General features: G+C 43.6%; 1 protein-coding gene, 1 long non-coding RNA gene and 2 pseudogenes across 3 annotated transcripts in view, besides 11 other annotated features; 1 reads left to right on the top strand and 3 right to left on the bottom strand.

The window, feature by feature from the left end:
* Window positions 1–11,339, bottom strand: part of BORCS7-ASMT (BORCS7-ASMT readthrough (NMD candidate)) — a 47,690-nt gene extending 36,351 nt beyond the window's left edge. Inside the window, exons 1-5 of the long non-coding RNA NR_037644.1 lie at window positions 11,122–11,339; window positions 5,155–5,217; window positions 5,008–5,051; window positions 3,369–3,389; window positions 2,617–2,676 (exon numbers count right to left, since the gene is read on the bottom strand). This is a non-coding gene — a long non-coding RNA (BORCS7-ASMT readthrough (NMD candidate)). The remainder of the gene's footprint in view (window positions 1–2,616; window positions 2,677–3,368; window positions 3,390–5,007; window positions 5,052–5,154; window positions 5,218–11,121) is intronic.
* Window positions 588–11,290, bottom strand: BORCS7 (BLOC-1 related complex subunit 7). Of its 2 annotated transcripts, NM_144591.5 has the most exons (6): window positions 11,122–11,290; window positions 5,155–5,217; window positions 5,008–5,051; window positions 3,369–3,389; window positions 2,617–2,676; window positions 630–1,819 (listed from the first exon to the last, which is right to left on the bottom strand). In NM_144591.5, the coding sequence occupies exons 1-5, from the start codon at window positions 11,260–11,262 to the stop codon at window positions 2,625–2,627; spliced, it is 321 nt and encodes a 106-aa protein (NP_653192.2). In that variant the 5' UTR covers window positions 11,263–11,290; the 3' UTR covers window positions 630–1,819; window positions 2,617–2,624. The 2 variants fall into 2 exon arrangements, with proteins under 2 accessions (NP_001129672.1, NP_653192.2); NM_001136200.2 differs by having other exon boundaries at window positions 588–2,676.
* Window positions 8,975–9,947: an enhancer, noted in NCBI's record as "H3K27ac hESC enhancer chr10:104615359-104616331 (GRCh37/hg19 assembly coordinates)". NCBI's record gives its function as "activates a minimal SCP1, AML or CMV promoter by ChIP-STARR-seq in primed H9 embryonic stem cells {active_cell/tissue: H9 hESC(primed)}" and the evidence as "EXISTENCE:reporter gene assay evidence [ECO:0000049][PMID:30033119]".
* Window positions 10,744–11,256: an enhancer, noted in NCBI's record as "H3K27ac hESC enhancer chr10:104614050-104614562 (GRCh37/hg19 assembly coordinates)". NCBI's record gives its function as "activates a minimal SCP1, AML or CMV promoter by ChIP-STARR-seq in naive H9 embryonic stem cells {active_cell/tissue: H9 hESC(naive)}" and the evidence as "EXISTENCE:reporter gene assay evidence [ECO:0000049][PMID:30033119]".
* Window positions 10,744–11,274: a biological region, named in NCBI's record as "H3K27ac hESC enhancer GRCh37_chr10:104614050-104614562".
* Window positions 10,955–11,144: an enhancer, noted in NCBI's record as "active region_3952". NCBI's record gives its function as "activates an Ori minimal core promoter by ATAC-STARR-seq in GM12878 lymphoblastoid cells {active_cell/tissue: GM12878}" and the evidence as "EXISTENCE:reporter gene assay evidence [ECO:0000049][PMID:35858748]".
* Window positions 11,215–11,274: an enhancer, noted in NCBI's record as "active region_3951". NCBI's record gives its function as "activates an Ori minimal core promoter by ATAC-STARR-seq in GM12878 lymphoblastoid cells {active_cell/tissue: GM12878}" and the evidence as "EXISTENCE:reporter gene assay evidence [ECO:0000049][PMID:35858748]".
* Window positions 11,257–11,770: an enhancer, noted in NCBI's record as "H3K27ac hESC enhancer chr10:104613536-104614049 (GRCh37/hg19 assembly coordinates)". NCBI's record gives its function as "activates a minimal SCP1, AML or CMV promoter by ChIP-STARR-seq in naive H9 embryonic stem cells {active_cell/tissue: H9 hESC(naive)}" and the evidence as "EXISTENCE:reporter gene assay evidence [ECO:0000049][PMID:30033119]".
* PTGES3P4 (prostaglandin E synthase 3 pseudogene 4) lies at window positions 19,523–19,948 on the bottom strand (annotated as a pseudogene).
* On the top strand, window positions 19,982–20,400 carry PFN1P11 (profilin 1 pseudogene 11; annotated as a pseudogene).
* Window positions 27,364–27,397: a protein binding site, noted in NCBI's record as "S1 site". NCBI's record gives the evidence for it as "EXISTENCE:protein binding evidence [ECO:0000024][PMID:28530704]".
* Window positions 27,364–27,896: part of a biological region, named in NCBI's record as "CYP17A1 promoter", that runs on past the window's edge. NCBI's record gives its function as "regulatory_interactions: CYP17A1".
* Window positions 27,495–27,524: a protein binding site, noted in NCBI's record as "S2 site". NCBI's record gives the evidence for it as "EXISTENCE:protein binding evidence [ECO:0000024][PMID:28530704]".
* Window positions 27,835–27,863: a protein binding site, noted in NCBI's record as "SF1 -294/-285 site". NCBI's record gives the evidence for it as "EXISTENCE:protein binding evidence [ECO:0000024][PMID:19359379]".
* Window positions 27,835–27,863: a protein binding site, noted in NCBI's record as "-290 to -276 SF1 site 3". NCBI's record gives the evidence for it as "EXISTENCE:protein binding evidence [ECO:0000024][PMID:11145739]".

Below are 27,896 nucleotides of genomic sequence, written 5' to 3'. Positions count from 1 at the left end.
AATTTTTGTATTTTTTAAGTAGAGACGGGGTTTCACCATGTTGGCCAGGCTGGTCTCGAACTCCTGACTCTGTGATCCGCCTGCCTCGGCCTCCCAAAGTGGTGGGATTACAGGCGTGAGCCACCACACCCGGCCAGGAGTATATGTTCTTTGACAGTTTGGAAAAGTCTCATGAAAGCTTTCACAAGCAAATGCCATTTTAATTGGTTATTCTTAGTTTGTGGGTTATTTCTCATAACCAATCTGGAATATTCTCTGTTAAAAGTGTCAGTTTCATAATTTTTTATCTTTATAAGGAGCTGGGCATATATTAATCACATTTTTTGCAGCAAACTGATAACTCTTTTCAAATCTCATTGATTTTATGTATTGCCTATTCAATTACGAATTTACTAATTTGTACTTTTCTGGCTGAGCTGACACTTTACCCATTTAATCTACAAGAACTACTTAATACTTTTTATTTTTTCTAATTTGTTATTTTTTTCTAATTTGTTTAGTTTTATTATTTCCATTTCCATTCTTTCTAAATTCTAACTATATACCCCTTAAAAAAAACAAAAATATTTCCACTCTATCCCTAATACAGGGATTTAAAGCATGCTTATTTTCTTATAGTACTGCTTTGGTATTATCACACAAATTTTCTTTTATGGCATTTGAACATTTGTTATTTTAAAAATATTATCTTCCGGCACAACCTCTACAACTTAGACGTTATTTAGTGAAGTATTTTTTCCATGTTTTTGATCACCATTTAATTCTATGTATGTTGTTTATTTCCATAAAAAAACAAACCATCAAATAATGTATACATTTCCACCTGTTCTAACATTTCTGGCTACTTTTGTTTCATGTATTTTGTTACGATGTTCTCTAGTGACTAAATTCAGTACAAATACGTTTTCATTATTTAATATAAATTTTATCTTATATTTACTATTAAAATTTTGATTGTGAAAGGTATTATTTTATCACATACATTGTAAGCAATCACTGCTTCTTTAACATTTGTTCCAGCATGAAGAAAACTTAGACCATCCCTTCATTTTAATTTTTTTCTAACTTAAGTATTTCTTTGCTTCTTGTAATGACTGCACTTAGCTTTGTTTTCTAAATTAGTGGTCTTTTCAAAGGTACATTGAGTCCATCTGTATTTAATAATACTGCAATTATTAATACATGTTTATAGAATTAGTACATAAATTAATGCCTTTTCAGATCCTTCACATCCAGCTTTTTTACCTTAAGTTAATATCCATATGTATGAGAAATAAACGTAATCTGATAATGCTTAGTTAACTTGATGATTGGACAATAACAATATGAACTATATTGGATTCACTGTTACTTCCTCTTTATTCCTGCAGTGAAAACAATATTTTCTTATGTCAGATTTCTCTCAATCTCTTAGTCAATGAAGACCTGAACTACAACAATATAGAGTCCCATTTTAAATTCAAACAAAGATATTTAGGTTTGACAACAGACTCATGGTAATGTCATTTAAAAAGATGGATCCAATGAACACAGACAAACATCAAAGTTTTCACCATGGCACAAACCTCTGCCACAATCACTCATAATAATTCAACTGCCTTCATATTTGGCAGTAACGTCATGCAAGTGAATTTGCTGATGATTAGCAAAATTACAAAATGAAAGTCAAGGTCACTTAATCAAGAATTACAGCAACAAAGAAATTCTAGGAATGCAGGTCAAGGCAAGAGGCTGCAGCTGGCCTGATAATGATACCACTTGCCTAATGTTCATTTAGGAATTTGCTATCACAAATAAAACACGTATCTCCTCTGAGTTACTAGAACAGAAAAGGAAACAATCAGGTATTACTTATCACCATTATATGACCATGAAATTAAAATATTTCCTTAATAATGATTAAGAGAAAAAAATCATTCTCATGTGTTCATAATAGAAGCTCTATTTCTGAATTTAAAACACTACTCAGTATTTGCTTAAGTACTGAAATTTAGACAATATAGCTTTTGACATATTAAAAGTTCTATAGGAAAAACTAAGACCTCTTAATTTTGCTTTAATATCAAACTAAACAGAGCAGATGAAAAAATTCAATAAGAGCATGGGTTAATCCGATTCAAGAAGTGCTTCCAAAATTCAACCACCTCGCTTCTTCTTAGGAGAAACTGTACATCAACACAGAACTTTTCTTTTTTTTTTCTTTTTTTTTTTTTGGAGATGGAATCTCACTCTGTCGCCCAGGCTGGAGTGCAGTGGCGCGATCTTGGCTCACTGCAACCTCCACCTCCTGGGTTCAAGCGATTCTCTTGCCTCAGCTTCCCGAGTAGCTGGGATTACAGGCGCCCGCCACCACGCCCAGCTAATTCTTTGTATTTTTAGTAGAGACGGGGTTTCACCATCTTGGCCAGGCTGGTCTCGAACTCCTGACCTCGTGATCCACCCGCCTCGGCCTCCCAAAGTGCTGGGATTACAGGCGTGAGCTACCGCGCCCGGCCCTAACACAGAACTTTTCTAACTTAACTTTTGGAGAAGAAAATAGAAAACCAAACCCAGAGGACAGCTGTGTAAGGTATTTACTCCTCAGCATTAGGCAAAGGAGTCCTACAGCACTCTTACATGTCATTCTATTTCAACAGATGATTCAACTGGTCCTGTAGATCCGATGACTGTTCAACACTAGGAATTAGAATAGAGACAGGGTTTATCTGAAATGAGCAATAATAAAGACATCTTTGTACAACTATTTACAAATTTTTTTTTTCCATTACAGACAGGGTCTCACTATGCTGCACAAGGCAATCTCAAACTCTGGGCTCAAGCAATCCTCCAGCCTCAGCCTTCCAAAGTCCTGCAATTACAGGCATGAGCCAGCCACTACACCTGTCCTGTACAAGCTATCTGTACTTTAATGCATAAATACTGTTGCATGTAAATCAAAATTTATATTGGTCCAGTTGTGTCCCAGAAGTGTTTAAACTCTGAAGAAAGGTTTGCAAAGCCAATTAGTAATGTAAACAATGTTGCAAGGGACAAATTTAATCCATTTTAGAAAACAAGGCTGTTTAATGGTTTTTGCACATTTACTCTGCTTAATGAATATTACCAATGTAAAAGGTTTTCTACTCCTTAAGGTTGGTCTCTATACCCCATAACTTTTAGAAAGTTTTACTATTAATAGCAGTGAGTTGAGTTACTGCACACCTTTGAAATATGCTGTATCTTTAAATCCCAAGTGAGTATCCCAGAGCATATTTCAATTTGAGGGCAGGTGTCAACCAGGGTTTTGTATTGATTCTGGACCCAGCAGTATAAATCCCCCCAGCCTGCTTCAGTTGGTTCCCTACTCCTCTACCTTTGGGGTTACTTACTTCTTCTGAATAGCTTCTTGCCTAAATCAGAAAAGGAAAGAGGAAAATACACATAAGTGAACTAATAAGTTTCATTTATGACCAGATAATACATATAGGCAGAAGAAATTTCAGCTTATGTCACATCCTGTATTTCTGTCCATCCTATCCTAAGATTGTGCTATTGAACAGGGATTCCTGTCTGAGTGCAGAGCTGCTGAAAAGATGGAATCTAAACCCAAACAGATAGTAACATTCTCCCAGAGTGAGAAATGTGGTTCAACAGACTACATGCATGGCTTAAAATTAGTCTGTGTATATGGAATCAAATGGTCACATACCTAATACCTAATATGTAGATACCCAAAGAATGACTAATGATTATGACAAACATTAGCTATTTAAATATCGAAGAGTGAAATTCCTAACCATATATATATATTTTGTTTGTTTGCTTTTGTTTTTGTTTTTTTGTTTTTTTTTTGAGACAGAGTCTCACTCTGTCGCCAGGATGCAGTGGAGTGGTGCCCGATCTCAGCTCACTGCCATTTCCGTCTCCCGGGCTCAAGCAGTTCTCCTGCCTCAGCCTCCCGAGTAGCTGGGATTACAGGTGTGTGCCACCACACCCGGCTAATTTTTGTATTTTTAGTAGAGACGGGGTTTTGCCGTGTTGGCCAGGCTAATCTAGAACTCCTGACCTCAGGTGATCCACCTGCCTCAGCCTCCCAAAGTGCTGGAATTACAGGCATGAGCCACTGTGCCCAGCCTCTTTTTTTTTTTTTCTGGAGGCAGAGTTTCACTTTTGTCACCCTGGCTAGAGTGCAGAGGTGCAATCTCCACTCACTGCAAACTCCACCTCCCAGGTTCAAGCAATTCTCATGCTTCAGCCTTCTGAGTATCTGGGATTACAGGCACCCACCACCACACCCGGCTACTTTTTTGTATCTTTAGTAGAGACGGGGTTTCACCATGTTGGCCAGGCTGGTCTTGAACCCCTGATCTCAGGTGATCCGCCCTCCTCGGCCTCCCAAAGTGCTGGGATTACAGGTGTGAGCCACCATGCCCAGCCCCAACCATATATTTCTAAGAGGTACATAAGTATAATATCAAGTACATAAAATATAAAACAACATGAAATAAGATGAAGAGCAAATTATAATGGAGAAAGAGGGGGTCTTATATTTCAAAATTCCCTACATGATTTATATGTAGCAGGTGCCACACTTACCTATGTACCATGTAGGATACAGGTATGTTATACTTCATTCCCTAGTAGAGGACCCAACTTAACTTCCCAGAAGAGACCTTGGGCACAGTCAGTCATCAAATACTGATCAACGGCCTCACAGGTGCCAAGTACAGTGCTAGCATGGTCCTGGCACGGGCCCTGCCTTTACAGGGTTTATAGTCTCTCTCTGAGGAGCCCTCAATTTAACATGGGGAGGTTCATAAAGGGTGGACTCTGCTCCTGATTCTCATCCTTTACCCCCACTTCTTCTGTAGTCTCAGGCATCTTTGCCATCGAGAAAGTCATCCTTGGCCACCCCCACCTTTACTCCCACTCTGGCCTCCACAGGAAAGTGCTGAAGCACAAAGTCCATGAAAGCAGACCAGGGATAATGATTCTGCAGCAAATAGTTGCTGGAGGGGGCATACTCACTGGTATTGAAGATGTGTTGTTATTATTGCCATCTTCCTTAAACTCTGCATAAAAAAGAGAGAGAGAAATAGAACATTTCCACTTCCCTGTGGCCACACAAACCATATACATAAACCCAAATCATTAAAAAAAAAAGTTGTTTCTTACATCTTCTGAGTGCAAGATGGCATCTTCCTGGAGTACCATGTTTCGAGCTGCCTGACCTAGCAGCTGGAAGACAAAAATAAAATGGTAATAATCAAAATTCCCAAACTTCCTGTAATCTTCTCTCTGCAGCTGTTACACTACTACCCTCTCTCCTCTCCCACTCCTCCACCCTATACAACCACAAACACTCAAAATGTAATGAAGGATAATTTTCTATTTGTTCATGTTGAAAATTCATTTCATTGGCACTATGGCAGTTCTGGCATGGACCCGACATCTGTTTCAAAGGCCACTGCCTGAGAAATCAAGTGCTTCCTAACTGCTGGGCTGTTGGCACAGTGTATTCATTAAGTGCTAAGAGAAGTCTGCAAAAAAACTTTGGCTCCACAAGTCCAGTGAGAGAACATGACTCGTAATTCTTTAAAGGCAGATTTGAGATTTGGGGTTGTTTGAAAGTAGTAAAGATGCAAGAGTTAGAATGGGGCTGAAAAGGACAGAGGAATACAGCTATTTAGAAATGAAATAAGAGAAGGCCAGGTGCGGTGGCTCATGCCCGTAATCTCAGCACTTCGGGAGGCCAAGGTGGGTGGATCACTTGAGGTCAGGAGTTTAAGACCAGCCTGGGCAACATGGTGAAACCGCATCTCTACCGAAAAATACAAGTTAGCTGGGCATGGTGGCTGCGCTTGTAATCCCAGCTACTTGGGAGGCTGAGGTGGGAGAATTGCTTGAACCCAGGAGGCGAAAGTTGCAGTGAGCCAAGATCTCACCACTGTACTCCAGCCTGGGCGACAAAGCAAGACCCTGTCTCAAAAAAAAAAAAAGAAAAAAAAAATGGAATAAGAGAAACAGTGGGGGGTGTGGGGAAGCCATGAGGAGAAGCTCAGGGCTTAAAATGGGGAACCACCCCATAAAAGATGACCAGACAGGGCTGGGAAAAAGAAAAGAAAGGAGATGGCCAGGTGCGGTGGCTCACACCTGTAATCCCAGCACTTTCGGAGGCCGAGGCAGGCAATCACCTGAGATCAGGAGTTCAAGACCAGCCTGGCCAACATGGCAAAACCCCTCTACCAAAATTACAAAAATTAGCCAGGCGTGGTGGCACGTGCCTGTAATCCCAGTTATTCAGGAGGCTGAGGCAGGAGAATCTCTTGAACTTGGGAGGCAGAGGTTGCAGTGAGCCGAGATCGCACCATTGCACTCCAGCCTGGCAACAGAGTGAGACTCTGTCTCAAAAAAAAAAAAAAGAAAAGAAAAGAAAGGAGAAATGTGCAGGCAGAATTTAATGAGGTTACTGAGTTTAATGGGTCCTGAGTCCAAAAGAGAAAAGCAGAGCTTGGATTTGGCTGGATGGTCTACAGTCAAGGAGAGCTGACCACATTAGCACTGAGAGGCAAGCAGAGACCAACAGAGATTTCTGGCCTAATACTGCACCCTGCTCCTGGCATACCTAAATTCAGCCAAGTAAAAGGAGCTACTGTTATGTGTATCCTACCGGCCCTTCCCTGTTCTCTTGGGTCAGGGAGACTCTAGTGAAAAGGGTAGCGTGACTTCAAAGTAACTAGGATTGCCAGATTTCTTCCCCAACACAGGGCAACTTTATTTAAAGTTTTAAAGTTAGTAACCCCTTCTGGATGTCTAAAGTCAAAACAATAAAATAGGATTTTCCATCTCTGTCCCTTTCTTTCCCTGTTCTCTCCCCCATATGCAAAACTATTTTTTTATTTTTTAATTTTCATTTTTTTGAAACAGGGTATCACTCTGTCACCCAGGCTGGAGTGCAGTGATGCGATCTTGGCTCACTGCAACCTCCGCATCCTGGATTCAAGAGATTCTCCTGCAGCAGCCTCCTGAGTAGCTGGGATTATAGGTACATGCCACCACGCTCACCTAATTTTTATATTTTTAGTAGAGACGAGGTTTCACTGTGTTGGCCAGGCTGGTCTCAAACTCCCATCCTCAGGTGATCCACCCGCCTCAGCCTCCCAAAGTACTGGGATTACAGGCATGAGCCCCTACACCCAGCCCCATGCATAACTATTTTTATTAGCTTTGTGGTTTTCTTTCCATTGTTCCTTTTTAAACAATGGACACATGTATTTATTTTCCTCCATACCACTTTCCTACTTAAAATGTAACATACTATGTGTACTTGTTTACACCTTGCTCTCTCTCTCTCTCTCTCTCGCTCGCTCTCTCTCTCTATATATATATATATTTTTTTTTTTTTGAGACATGGTCTCACTCTGTCACCCAGGCTGGAGCGCAGTGGCACCATCACTGTTCACTGAAGCCTCAACCTCCCGGACTCAGGTGATCCTTCCACCTTAGCCTCCAGAGTAGCTGGGACTACAAGTGCATGCCACCATGCGCAGATAGTTTTTTGTATTTTTTTGTAGAGATGGGGTTTTGCCATGTTGCCCAAGCTGGTTTCAAACTCCTGGGCTCAAGTGATTTGCCTGCCTCAGCCTCCCAAAGTGCTGGGATTATAAGCATGAGCCACCGTGCCCAGCCTACACCTTGCTGTTTTCACTTTGCAATAGATCCCTGAGGGTTATCTGCAGCAATACATATTGAATCTCCTATTCAATTGCTATCTCCTAATGAATCCATTGCTCTTTTACAACTGCAGAGTACCACACTCTACAGGTGACCATAACATTATTCAGTCAGTTCTCTGCTGACGGATTTGGAGGCTGTTCCCAGTCTTTTGCCACGGTAAGTAGTGGTACAAAAAATTCTCAAATCTTGGATCTTATCTCATAGCTTTTACTGTTACAAATATCTCCTATCTTTGCATCTTTTTGCCAGCATATGTTTGGGATGGACTCACAGGACTGTGATTTGTGACTGTGGGGTTTTAATTTTGCTACATATTGCCAAATTCCTCTCCTTTAGGGCTGTACCACTTTGCATTCCCACCAACAATTATGAGAGTACCTGTTCCTCCTGTGGCTACTTTTAAGGGTAAACTTCAAACTCCTATAGATGGGAGATGGTGACTTACAAACCGATGGCAGAAAAAAAAGGGTTCCAACAATCTACTTCATTCACTTACTCATTTAATAAACATTTGTTGAGTGTTTAACATATGCCCTTACTCTGGTTAAGAGTGATAACGGGGCTCAGAATCTGGAGGGGTTACAAAGGGAACATAGGCACTTACATCACCTTATGGTAAGTGCTGATGGGGAAGCATTGGCTGCTCCGGGAGCATGTAGTGGGGCAGGAGTGTCTAACTGATTACAGGGGTAGGTGTTCAGGAAAGGTCCCTAAAAGAAGTGACTTCTAATCTGAGACTTAAAAGTTAGGGTTTAGAATTCATCTTTGTGTGTAATTCTAGAGAAAAATGGCATGATCCATTTTTCTGTTTTAGAAATGTGGTAAGCAGGTGGACTAGAGTGGGGAATGAGGCAGAGAGATTGGTTAGGATGACACAGCAGTACTCTAAGCAAGGAATGAGGATGGCCTGAAACACAGAAGTAGCCAAGAAAAAAAGAAACAAAGGATTTGTGAGACATTTAGAAAACAGACTCAATGGGAGTTGTGGTTGCCTTGAAGGCAGGGGCTGTTGTAATGTAAAGCCAAGGCTTTTCCTTGATATATTCATTGGCATTCTGCATCACTTTCCTACATAAACAGACCAGACACATAACATACCATCTGAGATTTCTAGTTTTGCTTTCTTTAAAATGGAAGAACATCTTGAATACACCTGTAAAACAATCTTCACTACAGAATCTTTTTAGATTTCTATAAATTTTTCTCCTAGGCTTTTACCATTAACTTGTTCATAATTAACTCAATAACAATTTGTCTTAGCTACTCATCTTCAACAAGTGTTTCTGATTTTCAACTTAGTTTTCATAGCAATAGCAACCCTCTTTTTTGGTACTCATATTTCATTTTTCGTATTATTTCATTAAATTACGTAGTTGCAACTGTAAGCATAAGTGCCATACACACATTTAAAAAATTGTTTTCATTCTTTTTTTTTTTCCTTTTTTTACAGAGACAAGATATCACTATGTGGCCCAGGCTGGTCTCGAACCCCTGGGCTTAAGCAATCCTGCCTCGGCCTCCCAAAGTGTTAGGATTACAGGCATGAGCCACTGCGCCCAGCCCACAGACACATGATGTTTAGAAAAAAACACAATGGACCCTCACTAAGCACACAACTCAAATGGAGGAGGAGAAGCGCAGGCATGCAAGAGACAAGCCTATGAGTCATAACCACTCATTATGCTGTGGGCAAATGTCAGTGTGTTTCTCCTCACAGGCTCTCTCCCCAGAGACCCCTTCCCTGATCATCTGTTTAAGATTAACCCTTTCGACCGGGTGTGGTGGCTCATGCCTGTAATCCCAGCACTTTAGGGGGCCAAAGCGGGAAGGATCACTTGAGGTCAGGAGTTTGAGACCAGCCTGGCCAACATGGTGAAACCCCATCTCTACTAAAAACACAAAAATTAGCTGGGTGTGGTGGCAGGCGCCTATAATCCCAGCTACTCAGGAGGCTGAGGCAGGAGAATCGCTTGAACCCAGGAGGCAGAGGTTGCAGTGAGCCCGAGATCGGGCCACTGCACTTTAGCCTGGGTGACAGAGCTAGTGGGACTCCTCCTCTGTCTCAAAACAAACAAACAAACAAAGATTAACCCTTTCATCACTCTCTATTCCCAGATTAATTTTGCTTCACAGGATTTACCACCACCTGATTTTTTTCTGTTTCACTTGTTTATCGTCTGTCTCTTCACTAAAATGTAAACTTCCCAAGTAGAGGGATTTAGTTTTGTTTATTCCGTGTACCTAGAGCAGTTCCTGGCACATAGCAGACACCCAATAAGTATTTGTTAAATGAATACTGTGGAATGAGTTTTTTACACATGAAATTCTCAGCTAATCAAACAAAATAGCTATGTGGAGACTGCTCAAGAAGCAATGCTGCCAGGAGCGGTGGCTCACGCCTGTAATCCCAGCACTTTGGAAGGCTGATGCAGGCAGATCATGAGGTCAAGAGTTCGAGACCAGCCTGGCCAACATGGTGAAACCTCATCTCTACTAAGAATACAAAAATAGCCAGGTGTGGTGGTGCGTGCCTGTAATCCCAGCTACTCAGGAGGCTGAGGCGGGAGAATCACTTGAACCCAGGAGGCGGAAGTTGCAGTGAGCCAAGATCACACCACTACACTCCAGCCTGGCGACAGAGCTAGACTCCGTCTCAAAAAAAAAAAAAAAAAAGGAAAAGTACTTCCTTCAATTAGTCATTCTAAAGACTTCATGAATTAAACTCCATAAAAGACAACAGTGTCTAGCATATATAAAATGCTAAATAAATGTACGTTTATTATGATGAATATGTTGAATATTTACAGGTGGTTAACTATAAACACCTCTAGTTGAAAATATATATAATATATATTACATATATTATATATAATATATATGTATATTATATATGTAATATATACATACACATTATATATAATATATACGTATATATATTATATAATACGTAATATATAATACTTATATATATAATTCGCCTCCCAGGTTCAAGCAATTCTCCTGCCTCAGCCTCCCAAGTAACTGGGATTACAGGCATGTGCCACCACGCTCGGCTATATATTTTTTTAATTATTATTTTTTAGTAGAGACGGGGGTTTCTCCATGATTGTCAGGCTAGTTTCGAACTCCCGACCTCAGGTGATCCGCCCGCCTCGGCCTCCCAAAGAGCTGTTTTAAAGCACAGGTTCCCATGGCATCGCTTCTTCCCCCAACCCTCACACACTGTCCCTAACCAAAGAGACTGCACACCCCAGAATGCAACACGCGCCTCCGCGAAGAAGACCTACTCATAGCAAGTACTTCACAGCCTACAATTCCCAAGATGCAACGCGACCTCCTTCCCACAGCAACGAAAGACTGCGACTCCCCGGACTATCAGGCCGGGAGAGTCCACTTCCAGCTCACCTCGGAGCTCCGGGAGCCTTTCAGCACCTGCTTGGTGAGCGCGATTACGTCAGTACCACAGGTGGTCACCTTCTCCGTGAGAAGCCCCTTCACGGACTGACCGAACCGCGCTTGAGACTCTGGCGTTCCAGTCGCCATCATTTCAGTTAGCGAACGGTTGCGCACTGACGATGGTGAGTCGCCGGGGCCAAAAGACAAGCAAAGCGGAAGGAAAAGAGGCGTCTCTTCCTCCATGGGAAAAGGAAGGGACGCATGCGCCTGATGGAGGTTGACCTTTGCTCACTAAACTCATGAACTATTCATTGATATCCTGAGGAAAACAGGGTCCAGGCAAACATCTCTGGAGGGGATGGAGGACAGTTTCATTGACTCTATGGTTCAGAATCGGAAAGCCTGCGGCAGGGCATGGCGGCGCACGCCTGAAATCCCAGCCCTTTGGGAGACCCAGGCAGGAGGATCACCTGAGCCTGAGAGTTCCAGACCACCCTGGGCAACATAGCGAAACTCCATCTCTTTAAAAATAAAATAAAATTAAAATTAATACAAATAATTAAAAAGAATCAGAAGGCCCGGATTACAGTCCCAATGCTACCATTTAGCAGTGTGTGGCTGCAAATTACTCAGCTTCTGTCTTATATTCCTCATCTGTTAAACAGAAGTAATAATGTTTCCAAGGGGTTATGAGAATATCATTCCATTCATATATATATACACATATATATATATACACATATATATACACATATATACACATATATACATATATATACATATATATACACATATATATATACATATATATTTTTTTTTCCCCAGAGTCTTGTTCTGTTGCCTAGGCCTTTTTTTGATTAATTGAGACAAGGGGCCAGGCGTGGTGGCTCACGCCTGTAATCCCAACACTTTGAAAGGCCAAGGTGGATCACTTGAGGTCAGGAGTTCAAGGCCAACCTATCCATATGGTGACACACCTGTAGTCCCAGCACTTTGGGAGGCCGAGGCAGAAGGGTCACTCAAGGCCAGGAGTTCAGTATCAGCAGCCTGGGCAACATAGCGATAACTTGTCTCATTTTATTTAATTTTATTTTATTTTATTTTTTTTTTGAGATGGAGTCTCGCTTTGTTGCCCAGGCTGGAGTGCAGTGGCTCGATCTCAGCTCACTGCAACATCCGCCTCCTGAGTTCAAGTGATTCTCCTGCCTCAGCCTCCCAAGTAGCTGGGATTACAGGTGCTTGCCACCAGGCCCGGCTAATTTTTGTATTTTTAGTAGAGATAGGGTTTCACCATGTTGGCCAGGCTGGTCTCAAATTCCTGACATCTAATGATCCACCAGCCTTGGCCTTCCAAAATGGTGGGATTACAGGCGTGAGCCACTGCACCTGGCCTCATTCCATTCAATTTTAACAAACATTTCATGAACTAAATACCAGACACTGTACTAGGCTGGGGATAGAGAAAGAAATGAAATACAGTTCTTGTCTCTGTGGAACTCCCAGGCTGATGAGGCAGATAGGCCTGTAAACAAATGAAGAAGGAAAAACAATCTAATAGAAAAATTGGCAAAAGGCACAAGTAGGCAATTCAAAAAAAAAAATCAACTGGCTGATAAATGTGAAAAATGCTCAACATCACTAGTAATTTTTATTGATAACCTCTTTATTGTATTAATACCAAACTGATGGTAACCACCTTGTAAGTGAATTAATATGTAAAATATTTCAAGTAGGCCAGGTGCCGTGGCTCACGCCTGTAATCCCAGCACTTTGGGAAGTTGAGGCGGGAGGATCACCTGAGGTCAGGAGTTCGAGACCAGCCTGCCCAACATGGTGGAACCCCGTCTCTACTAAAAATACAAAAATTAGCCGGGCGTGGTGGTGGGCACCTGTAGTCCCAGCTACTCTGGAGGCTGAGGCAGGAGAATTTCTTGAACCCGGGAGGCAGAGGTTGCAGTGAGCCGAGATCATGCCACTGTATTCCAGCCTAGGCGACAGAGTGAGACTCTGTCTCAAAAAAAAAATAAAATATTTCAAGTAGCTCCATTTCTTTTTTAGTTAATAAAAGATGTGAGAATGTTATTGTATTGAAAATTTTGTTCAAAATTACCTGTATTCAATATCAACATTACTTCCTCTTCCAAGTGTCTAGATTCATATGTCTCCGTTGAATCTCATTTACTGTTTACTTTTTGTCCTTAATAAACTTTATTGAGTTTATGTGCATGAATTTATGTTATAATTTATGTACAATAACAACATTATTTTTTGAGATGGAGTCTTGCTTTGTCACCCAGGCTGGAGTGCAGTGGCACGATCTTGGCTCACTGCAACCTTTGCCTCCCTGGTTCAAGCGATTCTCCTGCCTCAGCCTCCCGAGTAGCTGGGATTACAGGTGCCCACTATCACGCCTGGCTAATTTTTGTATTTTTAGTAGAGATGGGTTTCACCATGTTGGCTAGGCTGGTCTTGAACTCCTGACCTCAGGTGATCCACCTGCCTTGGCCTCCCAAAGTGCTGGGATTACAGGCGTTGAGCCACCACGCCCGGCCTGCACAATAACCACATTCTTTAAAGTGTACGATTTGATGAGTGTGACAGACGTATACATCTGTGAACCACCACCACTATTAAGATACAGAACAGGGTGGGAGCAGTAGCTCATGCCTGTATTCCCAGCACTTTGGGAGGCCGAGGCAGAAAGATTGCTTGAGGCCAGGAGTTCAATATCAGCAGCCTGGGCAACATAGCGATAACTTGTCTCATTTTATTTATTTATTTTTATTATTTATTTACTTTATTTTGAGACGGAGTCTTGCCCTGTCACCCAGGCTGGAGTACACGGGTGTGATCTTGGCTCACTGCAACCTCCGCCTCCCGGGTTCAAGCGATTCTCCTGCCTCAGCCTCCCAAGTAGCTGGGACTACAGGTACGCACCATCGCGCCCGGCTAATTTTTGTATTTTTAGTAGAGGTGGGGTTTCACCATGTTGGCCAGGCTGGTCTTGAACTCCTGACCTCATGATCGGCCCACCTTGGCCTCCCAAAGTGCTGGGATTACAGACATGAGCCACCACGCCCGGCCCCTTGTCTCAATTAAAAAAAAAAAAAAAAAGATGCAAAACATTTCATCACCCTCAGAAGTTTCCAAGTGCCCTTTAAAGTCCATCTCTCCTTCTCTGTCTCACCCGGGCAACCACTGCCCTGCTTTTGGGAACTATAGATTAATTTGCATTTCTAGAATGGCAAATAAATAGCATCATACAGGCTTTTTTGAGGGGAGGGGGGTCTTTTTTTGTCTGGCTTCATTCTTGCAGCATGATGATTTGACATGTTGTTGTGCATATAACTAGCCTGTTCATTTTTATTGCTGAGAAATATTCCACTGCATGGATAGTTCTCACTGTGTTTATTCACTCTCTTGTTGATGGACACTTGGGTTGTTTCCACTTTTGGGTTTTTGTTTTGTTTTGTTGTTTTTTGGTTTTGGTTTTTGTCGTTGTTTTTGAGACAGAGTCACTCCTCTGTCATCCAGGCTGGAGTGTATGGCATAACCACAGCTCAAGCTCCCAGGCTCAAGCAATCCTCCCACCTCAACCTCCGGAATAGCTGGAACTACAGGTTCATGCCACCATGCCTGGCTAATTTTTACAATTTTTTCTGTAAAGACAGGGTCTCCCTATGTTGCCTGGGCTCAAGTGATTTTCCTGCCTTGCCCTCCCAAAGTTCTGGGATTACAGGCATAAGCCCATCACACCTGGCCTCCACTTTTGGAATATTATGAATATTCTGCTATGAACATTTGTACACAAGTCTTTATGTGGGTTGTTTTCATTTCTCTTGGGTAACTATCTAGTAGTGGAATGGCTGGATCATATGGTAAGTGTTTCAGTTTTCAAGAAACTGCCAAACCATTTTCCAAAGTGGTTTAACACTTTACATTTCCGATAGCAGTGTATGCCACTCCAGTTGCTCCACATCCACAAACTTAGGAAAAGATGGAATGTTCTATAGCCATGGTAACACGTAGCTACCTGTGGTGGACAGACTGGCCGCTCAGGGTAGCCTTTGACCCCACCTCCTGGTGTTCTTGCTCTTGTGTGATCCTCTTCTCTTCCTTGTGGACATGATCTTTGATTTGCTTCTAATCGATAGTGTATGCACAGGTGATAGGAAACACATGATGATGTTACATAAGATTACATGTTACATCACCATTCCCCTCATCTTGCTGGAGCCTCTCTCTTGCCAGAGCCTCTCTCTCTTGCCGGCTGTGAGTAAGCGAGTGGCCACGTTGGAGAACTCCACGTGACAAGGAACTGCAAGTACCATCTAGTCACCTACCTCTGGGCCTCCAGCTGACAGCCAGCGGAAAAAAAAAAAAAAAGCTCTCAGTCCAACAATCAAAAGGAACTCAATCCTGCTAACAACCAGGCACATAGGAAGCAGATTCTTCCCCAGTAGAGCCTCCAGATGGAACCCAACCCTGGCCCACACCTTTACTGCAGCCTGTGAGACACTAAGTAGATGGCCCAGAGAAGCTATACTTAGGTTCCTAACCCACCAAGACTGTAAGATAATACATGTGTGTTGTTTTAAGCCACAAAGTTTCTGGTAATATTCATGGTAATGTGGTAGTAGAAAACTAATATATTACCAGAACTCATTTGAAATCTGTTCAGCTGGGCGCAGTGGCTCACACTGGTAATCCCAGCACTTTGGGAGGCCAAGTAGGGAGGATCACTTGAGCTCAGGAATTCAAGACCAGCCTGGGGATCATGGTGAAACCCCATCCCTATGAAAAATTCAAACATTAGCTGAGCGTGAAGATGTGCGCCTGTAGTCCCAGCTACTTGGGAGGCTGAGGTGGGAGGATCACCTGAACCCAGGAAGTCGAGGCTGAAGTGAGCCGTGATTGCACCACTGCGCTCAGACTAAGTGACAGAACCAGACCCTGTCTCAAAAAAAAAAAAAAGAAAAGAAACAGAAAAAGAAATCTGTTCAATCAATTTATGACAACTCACCTCAGTGAACCCCCTTTTGCAAACCAAACAATCAGGATCTGCCCCTTCACTTCTGAATATCAATCATTCAGGAGTTTGAGTCCTGCCTGGGCAACATAGAAAGACATTGTCAAAAGAGGCTGGGCGCAATGGCTCACACCTGCAATCCCAGGCAGAGGTGGGTGGATTGCCTGAGATCAGGAGCTTGAGACCAGCCTGGCCAACATGGTGAAACCCCGTCTCTACTAAAAATACAAAAATTAGCCAGGCATGGTGGCACGCATCTGTAGTTCCAGCTACACAGGAGGGTGAGGCAGGAGAATCGCTCGAACCCGGGAGGCGGACGTTGAAGTGAGCCAAGATCGCGCCATTCCACTCCAACCTGGGTAACAGAGTGAGACTCCATCTAAAAATAAAAAAATAAGACGGACATTGTCAAAAGTGAGAGAAGAAAGAGAAATAATAATAGGAAAGTTATAGAAAAATATTCATGCCAAAAATACAGCCTCATTTAGGTTAAAAAATACAGTTTAAAAATATTTAGTTTTAGTAATTTGTGTTTTCCAAATTTCTGCAATTATGATGTATAACTTTTATAATATGGTGATGAGAGTGTGAAGCAACACATTTTGTGTGTGTGTGTGTTTTAAATTCCCATTTCTTGTTTCTGATTGGGGTGAAATATCAGGTCAGCTTGGCAGTCTCTGTAGGAGTAGAAAGTAGCCATTCATATTTCCCTACCAGCTGGTTGACCCGACTGAGGCCCCTGCCTGGATCTTAGGATTCAGGCCTCTCCACTTGTCAGTCCAGCTCTCAGGCTTTACACACGATCTCCTCATCCAGCCTACCCCATGCACCAACACCAGTTTCACCCTCCTAAAACACCACTGTCACCTTGCTGCTCCCTGCTGCAGTGCTCTCAATAGCTCCTACAGCCTCCCTATACCCTTTATACCCTTCCATTCCAGGGCTCCAGAGCCTGACACAATGTACCCCTCAGATCTTTCTCAGGGATCCCCCACAACACACCTCTTTGTCTCTTCAGCTAAGGCCATCACCATTCCCCTCCTGCCATGCTCCTTCCAGCCTCTGCTACTCTCCCTTCCAGCAACACCCTTCTCTCCCTACTCCTTCACATCTCTACCTAACAGTTCTGAGGTAGGAGGTAGGACTGGACTCAGGAAGGTGAACCTTACTCTGGAGGCAGGGCTCAGACACCTGACCAAATTGAGGACCAGTTAAACAGATCTAGGGCAGGCCGGGCACAGTGGCTCACACCTGTAATCCTAGCACTTTGGGAGGCTGATGCAGGCAGATTGCCTGAGCTCAGGAGTTCAAGATCACCCTAGTCAACATGGTGAAACCCCATCTCTACTAAAATACAAAAATTAGCCAGTGTGGTGGTGGGTGCCTGTAGTCCCACCTGCTTGGGAGGCCGAGGCATGAGAATCGCTTGCACATGGGAGGTGGAGGTTGCAGTGAGCCAACAAAGTGAGGTTCCATCTCAAAAAAAAACAAAACAAAACAAAACAAAAAACCAGGTCCAGGGCAGAAGCAGCTTTCCATAAGACCCACCCACCAGTGTGCCATGTCACTTTACCATTGCCTTGGCAACACCCGGATATTAACACCCCTTTCCATGGCAATAACTTGATGGCCTGAAAATTACTACCTCATCCTAGAAATTTCTACATAAACCACCCCTTAATTTGCATATAATTAAAAGTGACTGTAAATGTGAGTGCAGCTCTGCCTCTGAGCTGTGACTTTGGGGGCACTGCCCCTGGGTAGCCCTGCTCCACGAGGAGCAGTACCTCTTCTGCTCTGTGCGCTGCTGCTTGCTGGCTACCACCACCAGCTTGCCCTGGAATTCTTTCCTGGGTGAAGCCAAGAACCCTCCTGGGCTAAGCCCCAGTTTAGAGGTTTGCCTGTCTGTCTGTCCTGCATCAGTCCTAGCTCTCCTTCAAGGCCTACCTCAAATCCCCTTTCTTGCATGAAGGTTTCTCATAGGTTTCATCCCAGCCCATACCTCTGGCTGCAAATGGCCTTAAAAATCTGAACAACATTTGAAAATTCTGAGTAATGGGCAACCAGGCAGTCTGGCTTATGAGGCCTGGCCAGCTCTTCTTCATCATGAGGCCCCCTACCTGCTGCCTTCCTGCCTAATTCCAGCAGCCTTCACTCCATCCTTACTAAACTTGCAGACAGACCACTCCCAGAGAGTGGGACAGATGCCATCAGATGCCATCTCCCACCTCTGTGAGCCTCAACTAACAACTCCTGTTTGGCCCATCTCTTCTATAATGATTGACACCAAGAATGTCTGCTACCTTGGGGCTGTGATTTCATCTGGTAATATAAAAAAAATTTTTTTTTTGAGAGTCTCACTCTGTCATCCAGGCTGGAGTGCAGTGGCATGATCTCAGCTCACTGCAACCTGTACCTCCCGGGTTCAAGCGATTCTCCTGCCTCAGCCTCCCAAGTAGCTGGGATTGCAGATGCACGCCACCATGACCAGCTAATTTGTGTATTTTTAGTAGAGATGGGGTTTTGGCGTGTCAGTCAGGCTGGTCTTGAACTCCTGGCCTCATGTGATCCACCTGCATTGGCCTCCCAAAGTGCTGGGATTATAGGCGTGGGCCACTGCGCCCAGCCCGAGAGGTAAATTTTTTGAAATAAGCTTTAGTGGAACAATCCTGAAGAATAACACAAGAGGAATAACAGGTTACCAGTAAGGTGTCAGCCAATTTGTTCCAGTCACTTTTGAATCCATGTCCTATAATCTAAAATTTAGTTCTCTTTCCCTAAGCTGAGAGCTTTCTATCATGTCAGTATGTATGTTATGAAGAAAAGGAGACTTAGGTGAGATGTTTGTATTTATCACAACTGCTGCATCAATTGCCTAGGACTTCAACAGCTTCATGGAAGTCTGGGAAATGTTCAGGCATAAGGTTATTGCCTTAGCTGACTGAAAATTGCCCCATACAGTGGTACATATCAACCCTTAGTGAGGCCTTTTAAAAAACAAACAGGTTGAAAAATAGATTAAAGTAGGCAAATACAGCATCTGTCTTTAGAGCTATCAACTCAGGAATTCTCTCAATTTTTTTTTTTTTTTTTTTTTTTTTGAGATGGAGTCTTGCTCTGTCACCCAGGCTGGAGTGCAGTGGTGCAATCTCGGCTCACTACAAGCTCTGCCTCCCAGGTTCACACCATTCTCCTGCCTCAGTCTCCGGAGTAGCTGGGACTACAGGTGCCCGCCACCACGCCCGGCTAATTTTTTGTACTTTTAGTAGAGACGGAGTTTCACCGTGTTAGCCAGGATGGTCTCGATCTCCTGACCTTGTGATCTGCTGGCGTCAGCCTCCCAAAGTGCTGGGATTACAGGCGTGAGCCACCATGCCCGGCCAGGAATTCTCTCAATTATGAAATCTTGCAGAGAAGTTATTTTTCTTTCTCAAAATCCAGATGATGACAATATTCCTTACTCCAGATCTGGCATTTTTTCATCATCACTGTCTTGTGAATGATCATCTGCTCCATCTGCTAAATCTACATCCTCTTCACCACCCATGTGGTTCATCATCTCAGAGAAATAATCAAAATCAGACATGGCTTCATCTGAACCATCTTCCCAGTCTTTCCAATGATTGGAGTCCACACTAAGCCAGTTAAGCTTTGCCCTTTGTTTTGTTAACCTTGGCCATGACTGGCCCCATTTTCCTTTTTGTAAACAAACAAAACCGATCTGTCCATTCTCTTATGCTTGAAATCATTTGGATCAATACAGTGAAAAAGATTGATGCCATATAAATGCTTAAAATGATCACTTCCAGGAAGTGGCAGTACAAGGGCTTCTGCACGGATAGCAGAGCAGTGGTCCCGACCACAGTGCATGCCCTGAGCTCTCCGCCTCCCCTGCCTGTCTGCGAGGTGGCAGCAGTGCCACAAGCAGCCCACGGCAGGGTGGAACACCCACATCGACAACCTCGTGGTGGAAGGGACCTGTAGGATGCAGCCATCGTGGGCTACAAGGACTTGCCTTCCATCCAGGCCACCATCCCTGGGAAAACCTTCATCAACGTCAAGCCAGCTGAGGTTGATGTCCTGGTTGGCAAAGACTGGTCAAGTTTTTTTGTGAATGAGGTGACACTTGGGGGCCAGAAATGTTCTGTGATCTGGGACCTACTGCTGCAGGATGGGGAACTGACCTATCTTTATACCAAGAGCACCGATGGAGCCCCCACCTTCAATGTCACTGTCACCATGACTGCTAGGATGCTAGTGTTGTAGGAAGTCAGGGACCCAAATGGAGGGATGGGCTGGAGGCATGGCAGAGGAACAGAAATTGTGAAGATTTCATTTTAATATGGACATTTATCAGTTCCCAAATAATACTTTTATAATTTCTTATGCCTGTCTTTAATCTCTTAATCCTGTTATCTTCATAAGCTGAGGGTGTATGTCACCTCAGGACCACTGTGATAATTGTGTTAACTGTACAAATTGATTGTAAAACATGTGTGTTTGAACAATATGAAATCAGTGCACCTTGAAAAAGAACAGAATAATAGCGATTTTTAGGGAACAAGGGAAGACAACCATAAGGTCTGACTGCCTGTGGGGTCGGGCAAAAAGAGCCATATTTTCTTTCTTGCAGAGAGGATATAAATGGACGTGCAAGTAGGAAAGATATTGCTAAATTCTTTTCCTAGCAAGGAATATTAATATTAATACCCTGTGAAAGGAATGCATTCCTCCGGGGAGGTCTATAAACGGCCACTCTGGGAATGTCTGTCTTGTACAGTTGAGATAAGGACTGAGATATGCCCTGGTCTCCTGCAGTACCCTCAGGCTTACTAGGGTGGGGAAAAACTCTGCCCTGGTAAATTTGTGGTCAGACTGGTTCTCTGCTCTCGAACCCTGTTTTCTGTTGTTTAAGATGTTTCTCAAGACAATATGTGCACCGCTGAACATAGACCCTCATCTGTAGTTCTGCTTTTGCCCTTTGCCTTGTGATCTTTGTTGGACCCTTATCAGTGGTTCTGCTTTTGCCCTTTGTCCTGTTCCCTGAGAAGCATGTGATCTTTGTTAGACCCATATTAGTAGTTCTGCTTTTTGCCCTTTGAAGCATGTGATCTTTGTACCTACTCCCTGTTCTTACACCCCCTCCCCTTTTTGAAACCCTTAATAAAAACTTGCTGGTTTGAGGCTCAGGCGGGCATCACAGTCCTACTGATATGTGATGCCACCCCCGGTGGCCTAGCTGTAAAATTCCTCTCTTTATACTGTCTCTCTTTATTTCTCAGCCAGCCGACACTTATGGAAAATAGAAAGAACCTATGTTGAAATATTGGGGGCTGGTTCCCCCAATATCTGGCACACCAATGTGGTTTTCTTTCTCCTAATTGCATGTGGGAACCTGATTCCCTTTGGTAGGTGCGGAGAAACGTTCATTGGTCTGGTCCACAGAAATGCTTGTTCAGCTCTCTGATGATTGGTAAGTTGTCTGTGTATTGTCCAGGCTAACTTTGGGTCACTCAGAGTCTAAACATTATGCTTATCTCTGCCATATTAAACTCCTGTTAAAACAGGGGGGAGTTTGGGTACCCATGGAAAATATGGTCACCCTATTCAGGGCAGTGGAAGAACATTGTCCTTTGTTTCCTGAAAAGGGAACATTAGACGTGGAACTATGGGATCGTGTTGGTGCAAAATTCCGGGAACTGGTCCCAACAGGAAATTATGTTCCCGTCACTGTTTGGGGTGACTGGGCCTTGGTATGTGCCGTCCTAATGACATACCAATCCCATCACCCCCTGCAGTTACCACAGTTTTCTGAATCTGGAAACCCTCCACCTCTTCCTCAACCTTCCTCTCCCGCACGGCCTTCGTTACCTGATCAGCCTCTCCCTTCGCCTACTCCTTCCCCACCTGAGGATATTGAAGATTCAATATCTAACTCCAGTGACTTTGGCTTAACGTCACCCCCTGATGATCTTATTTCTTTTCACGAACAGCCAGTACTTGTAGCTCCCACGGCCCCGACTTGGACAGCCCAGGACTGTATCTATGCTAACTCTTCCCTCTTCAAACCTTTGCAGCCTTTGCCTCCGGAGCCATCTAATGGCTCCGGAACTAAACTACAATTTACCTGTAATTCTGCAGGCCCTCCCCCATCCACCACAGCCCCTCACCCTCCTGTCATTTCGGTTCCTCAACTGGTCACTTTGCCATCCACTCAACCTGCTTCTCTGTACCCTTCTTCACATGTGGACACCCCTGCCACTCTGGTTGCACAGGATTGGGCAATAATCACCAGTATGCTTCTGCCTCTTCTGCTCCTCTGGTGCCCCTTTCTCACGCTCTCATACTGGTCCAACCTCCTCAGCCTCAGTTTCCCTTATCTACACATAATTTTCCTGTCACTTCTGTGCCAACTCTGTCTCATGTGCCTGTTGTTGAAATTTCCATGCAATGCTTATTACGCCAAAACAAACAAGTGGATTAGAGGCGTGGGCTTATCCGTTCATGCTGGAACCTTGCAATGCTCAAGGGGTACAAGTGCATCGATAGGCGCTGCTCAATCTTACCTTTTTAAAAGAATTCAAGGATGCTTGTACTCAGTATGGTCCTACTTCTCCATATGTTAAAATGGTATTACAGACTCTTTGTACTGAGGTCATTTTGCTTCCTTTAGACTGGGACTTTTGGCAAAAGCTGTTCTAACTCCATCTCAACATTTACAATTCTGTACCTGGTGGTCACGGGAGGCCCATCTGCAGGCTCAGCTAAATCGGGCTGATGGCATTCTAATTACTCAGGCTCAGCTCACAGGCTCCAATAATTACTCTGACACTACTGCCCAATTAGGCTTTGATGCTCTCACCGTGGAACAAGTAACAAAGGTGTGTATGAGAGCTTGGGATAAATTACGCGCCCCAGGCCAAGCTCCTGTTTCTTTTACTACTGTTAAACAGGGTCACAATGAATTATATCCTGATTTTTTAGCTAAATTACAAGATGCTGTTGAAAAATCTGTCTCTGATGAGCACGCTCAAGGTATTCTTCTTCGAATGTTAGCTTTTGAGAATGCGAACCATGAGTGTAAAATGGCCATGCATTCCGTCCAACAACAAAATTTACCTGATCGTGAGGTGTTGCCTGAGTATATTAAATATGAAGGCATTGGATCAGACACAAAGCTATTCTGTGCCCACAAAGCTATTCTGTGGGCACGGGCCATGAAGGACGGCAATCAAACTGGCTCGACTGATTCTTTTCTTGGAGCCTGCTATAATTGTGGTCAACTTGGTCATACTCGAAAAAATTGCACAGTTAAAAACTTAAAGGCAGCCAAGCCGGCTCAAAAAACACAGCCAAATGCTCCTGCTACTGTTTGCCCTTGTTGTTGTAAAGGTAAACATTGGGCAAGTACTTGCCACTCTAAGTCTGATATAGATGGAAATCCCTTGCCACAGAACCAGGGAAATGGGAAATGGGGCCAGTCCTAGGCCCCAATTTCAAATGGGACACCTCAGACTCAGACGAATGTTGCCTTTCTGCTTCAATCGGTCCCAACGCAGCCCCCAGCACAAACAAATTTACCTACAGCCAACCCAGATGTGTCCCAGCCTCTTCTTCTGTCTCAGTACAACGCTTATCTATGCTCCAGAGTAAGGGGAGGGGCGGTCAATCTCTGTAGTACCATTCCTCTAAATTTACTACCTAATTCTTTGCCTTTAATTCCCAGACCAATACCTGGAAACCTGGAACGATTATAACATGGGGAAGAGGGTATGCTTGTGTTTCACCAGGAGATCATCAATCCCCTGTCTGGGTGCCCACTAGAAGACTTAAACTTCATGTGAATACTGACAATAAAAACCACAGGGAAGAGACGTCCACGTCAGAGACCACCCTCATACCTGGTGAGATCTGTGCCAACTCCTCAGAAACTGGCACGCCAAATCAAAATGGGTCTGGTTCAATCCTCCCTAATGGCAACAGAAACCCCTCTAACTAATCCCACTTCTCCTAATTCCCTTTCTTTTTCTCCTTACGAACCTAAAAATCTCACCATTTCTATTAGCCTGAAAATAACATCCCCTTATTCTTCTATTCCTCCTTCAGCACTGGATCTTGCTTACAATAGGTTTTATTTAATAATTCTCTTCCTTATACTTTCTGTCTCACCAGTTTCCCCTCACATTGATTTACCTGCTACACAAAATTATTCTTGCTGGGCTTATGTGCCTTTTCCTCCACTTATTCAACCTCTCACCTGGATGGATGCTCCTGCGGAAATCTATACTAATGATAGTGTGTGGATGCCTGGAGCTACAGATGACCGTTGCCCCACTCAACCAGGAAAAGAAGGCACTGCATTTAATGTTCCTACGGTTATAAATACCCTCCTCTGTGCCTCGGACATGCACCTTGTTGTATCCATCTAGAAACTCAAGTCTGGGCTGCGTACCTTCTGGAGAGATCAGCCACAGGGGAACGGGGACATTTGGTCTCCAGCCTCTCCCTTTCTCCTTTAAGACAAATGAAAGGGGGAGTAATAGGAGATACCCCCTACTTTCAATATAAACCTGTAGGAAAACCATGTCCTAAAATTTTTGAGGGCCCATCTAAATCTTTAATTTGGGAAGATTGTGTTAATTCACATGCAGTACTATTAAAAAATGACTCATATGGTTTAGTAAGAGACTGGGCACCAAAGGGCTATTTGAAAAGCAGTTGCTCTTCTGCTGGAAGGGAATGCCTGGAGGCTACTTGTTTTATTTCTTATTGGGAGGACGAGGATCATCATCCTACTTTGCATAGGAGGTTCAGCTCATTCTGTCCCTTAAAATGGGAAGATAAGAGCATTACCCCCTGCCACCCGAGGCCTCTTATGATATCCCCCATTCTGAGCCCAGAACACCCAGAACTTTGGAAATTGGCTATTGCCATGTCCAGACTGCGAGTATGGGAAGGGGAAACTTTTCTTTCTGTTGTCCCCACTACCACCCCTCACATCCGTGATTCTGAAACCCATGATAAATCCCCTTTGGACCATTTTCCTCTTTTTGATGCCAGTCCTCCTTTATGGGACTCTGATTGGCATTATGATAATTCTTCTGGACCCAGGTATGTCCCCCTACCTCTTCAGAATCCCCGGGCACCTCGGATTGCTTCTTTACGGCATCAAACATTGGGCGTTGCCACCGCCACTCCTCCCCCTCGGTATCAACGTAGATTCAAACATTCTGCTTTGTTTACCTCCAGCCTGACTATTATACAGAGTTGTGTTAAGCCTCCTTACATGCTGTTAGTGGGAAATATCAAAATTTGGATGAACAATCAAACCGTCCAATGCATTAATTGTCATTTATCCACTTGTGTTAACTCCCGTTTTGACTCAGGAAAAGTGTAATGTTGGTTCGAGCTTGAGAAGGAATCTGGATACCAGTAACTTTACCCAGAACTTGGGAATCTTCCCCCTCAGTACATTTAATTAATGAAGTGTTACAACGAATTCTCAAAAGATCAAGAGATTTGTTTTCACTTTAATCACTGTGATCATGGGCCTAATTACAGTCACTGCACTGGCCACCACTGCCGGAGTGGCATTACACCAATCTATTCAAATGGCTAATTTTGTTAATGATTGGTAAGGCAATTCCACCCAAATGTGGAATCCTCAACAAGGCATTGATCAAAAATTAGCTAATGATTTAAGACAGTCTGTTATTTGGCTTGGGGACCAGCTAATGAGTCTCGAACATCACATGCAAATGCAGTTCGATTGCAACACTTCTGATTTCTATAGCACACCATATTCCTACAACGAGACTGATCATGGGAAATGGTCAAAGGACACCTTCTGGGTAGGGAAGATAATTTATCCTTGGACATAACTAAATTAAAGAAACAAATTTTTGAAGCCTCTCAAGCTCATTTATCCATTGTGCCTGGAGCTGAGGCGTTAGATCAGGTGGCAGAAAGTCTTTCTGGACTAAACTCCACAACTTGGATTAAGTCTACTGGGGGCTCCACTGTAGGAAATTTTGGAATCATGTTTCTCTGTTTAATCGGCTTGTTTTTAGTGTGCCAGACCAGTCAAAGAATCCTGCATCAAAACCGAGAGAACGAGCAAGCCTTCATCGCCACGGCACATTTATATAAAAAGAAAGGGAGAGATGTTGCGGGAAGTCAGGGACCCTGAATGGAGGGACTGGCTGGAGCCATGGCAGAGGAACATAAATTGTGAAGATTTCATTTTAATATGGACATTTATCAGTTCCCAAATAATACTTTTATAATTTCTTATGCCTGTCTTTACTTTAATCTCTTAATCCTGTTATCTTTGTAAGCTGAGGATGTTTGTCACTTCAGGACCACTGTGATAATTGTGTTAACTGTACAAATTGATTGTAAGACATGTGTTTGAACAATATGAAATTAGTGCACCTTGAAAAAGAACAGAATAAGAGCAATTTTTAGGGAACAAGGGAAAACAACCATAAGGTCTGACTGCCTGCAGGGTCGGGCAGAAAGAGCCATATTTTCCTTCTTGAGAGAGGCTATAAATGGACATGCAAGTAGGGAAGATATCACTAAATTCTTTTCCTAGCAAGGAGTATTATTATTAATACCCTGGGAAAGGAATGCATTCCTGGGGGGAGGTCTATAAACAGCCGCTCTGGGAATGTCTATCTTGTGCAGTTGAGATAAGGACTGAGATACGCCCTGGTCTCCTGCAGTACCCTCAGGCTTACTAGGGTGGGGAAAAACTCCGCCCTGGTAAATTTGTGGTCAGACCGGTTCTCTGCTGTCGAACCCTGTTTGCTGTTGTTTAAGGTGTTTATCAAGACAGTATGTGCACCGCTGAACATAGACCCTCATCTGTAGTTCTGCTTTTGCCCTTTGCCTTGTGATCTTTGTTGGACCCTTATCAGTGGTTCTGCTTTTGCCCTTTGCCTTGTGATCTTTGTTGGACCCTTATCGGTAGTTCTGCTTTTGCCCTTTGTCCTTTCCCTCAGAAGCATGTGATCTTTGTTAGACACTTATTAGTAGTTCTGCTTTTCGCCCTTTGAAGCATGTGATCTTTGTACCTACTCCCTGTTCTTACACCCCCTCCCCTTTTTGAAACCCTTAATAAAAACTTGCTGGTTTGAGGCTCAGGTGGGTATCACAGTCCTACCGATATGTGATGCCACCCCCGGCGGCCCAGCTGTAAAATTCCTCTCTTTATACTGTCTCTCTTTATTTCTCAGCCGGCTGACACTTATAGAAAGAACCTACGTTGAAATATTGGGGGTGGGTTCCCCCAGTACGCTAGTCCTGCTGATGAGCAAAGAAGGTGTTGATGGCATTTTGATCAACAAGAAATGTTATGAAACGGCCTCCCACCTCTGGCATTCCTAGTACTGACCTATCTCTCCCTTCCCTTCCACCGCTCCCCACAGCTTAGCACCCCTTTCGTTCCCATACACATGTACATTTTTATTTTGGGGACCATTAACCCACAGCCCTTATCGCTGCCAAAACCACATGGGCTGGAGGGCCAGGGCTGCATGGACAGTCACACCACTGCACACCAGCCTGGTGATGGAGCAAGACTCTGAAAAAAAAAAAAAGAAGCATAAAAGACCTTTAACAGTCCCTGCTACTTGTGACCCTCCTGAATCTGTCATCTGTCCAGTGATTTTGATTTTGCAACATGGAAAGTTCCAAGCCTTGACTCCTGAGCCCAGATACCATTCGCACTCTGGAGTCATTCAAGCATGGG

This window comes from Homo sapiens, chromosome 10, assembly GCF_000001405.40.
Source record: "Homo sapiens chromosome 10, GRCh38.p14 Primary Assembly".
Taxonomy (NCBI): Eukaryota; Metazoa; Chordata; class Mammalia; order Primates; family Hominidae; genus Homo; species Homo sapiens.
Note: the sequence above shows the minus strand (reverse complement) of the source record. Positions and strands in the feature narration are given on the sequence as shown.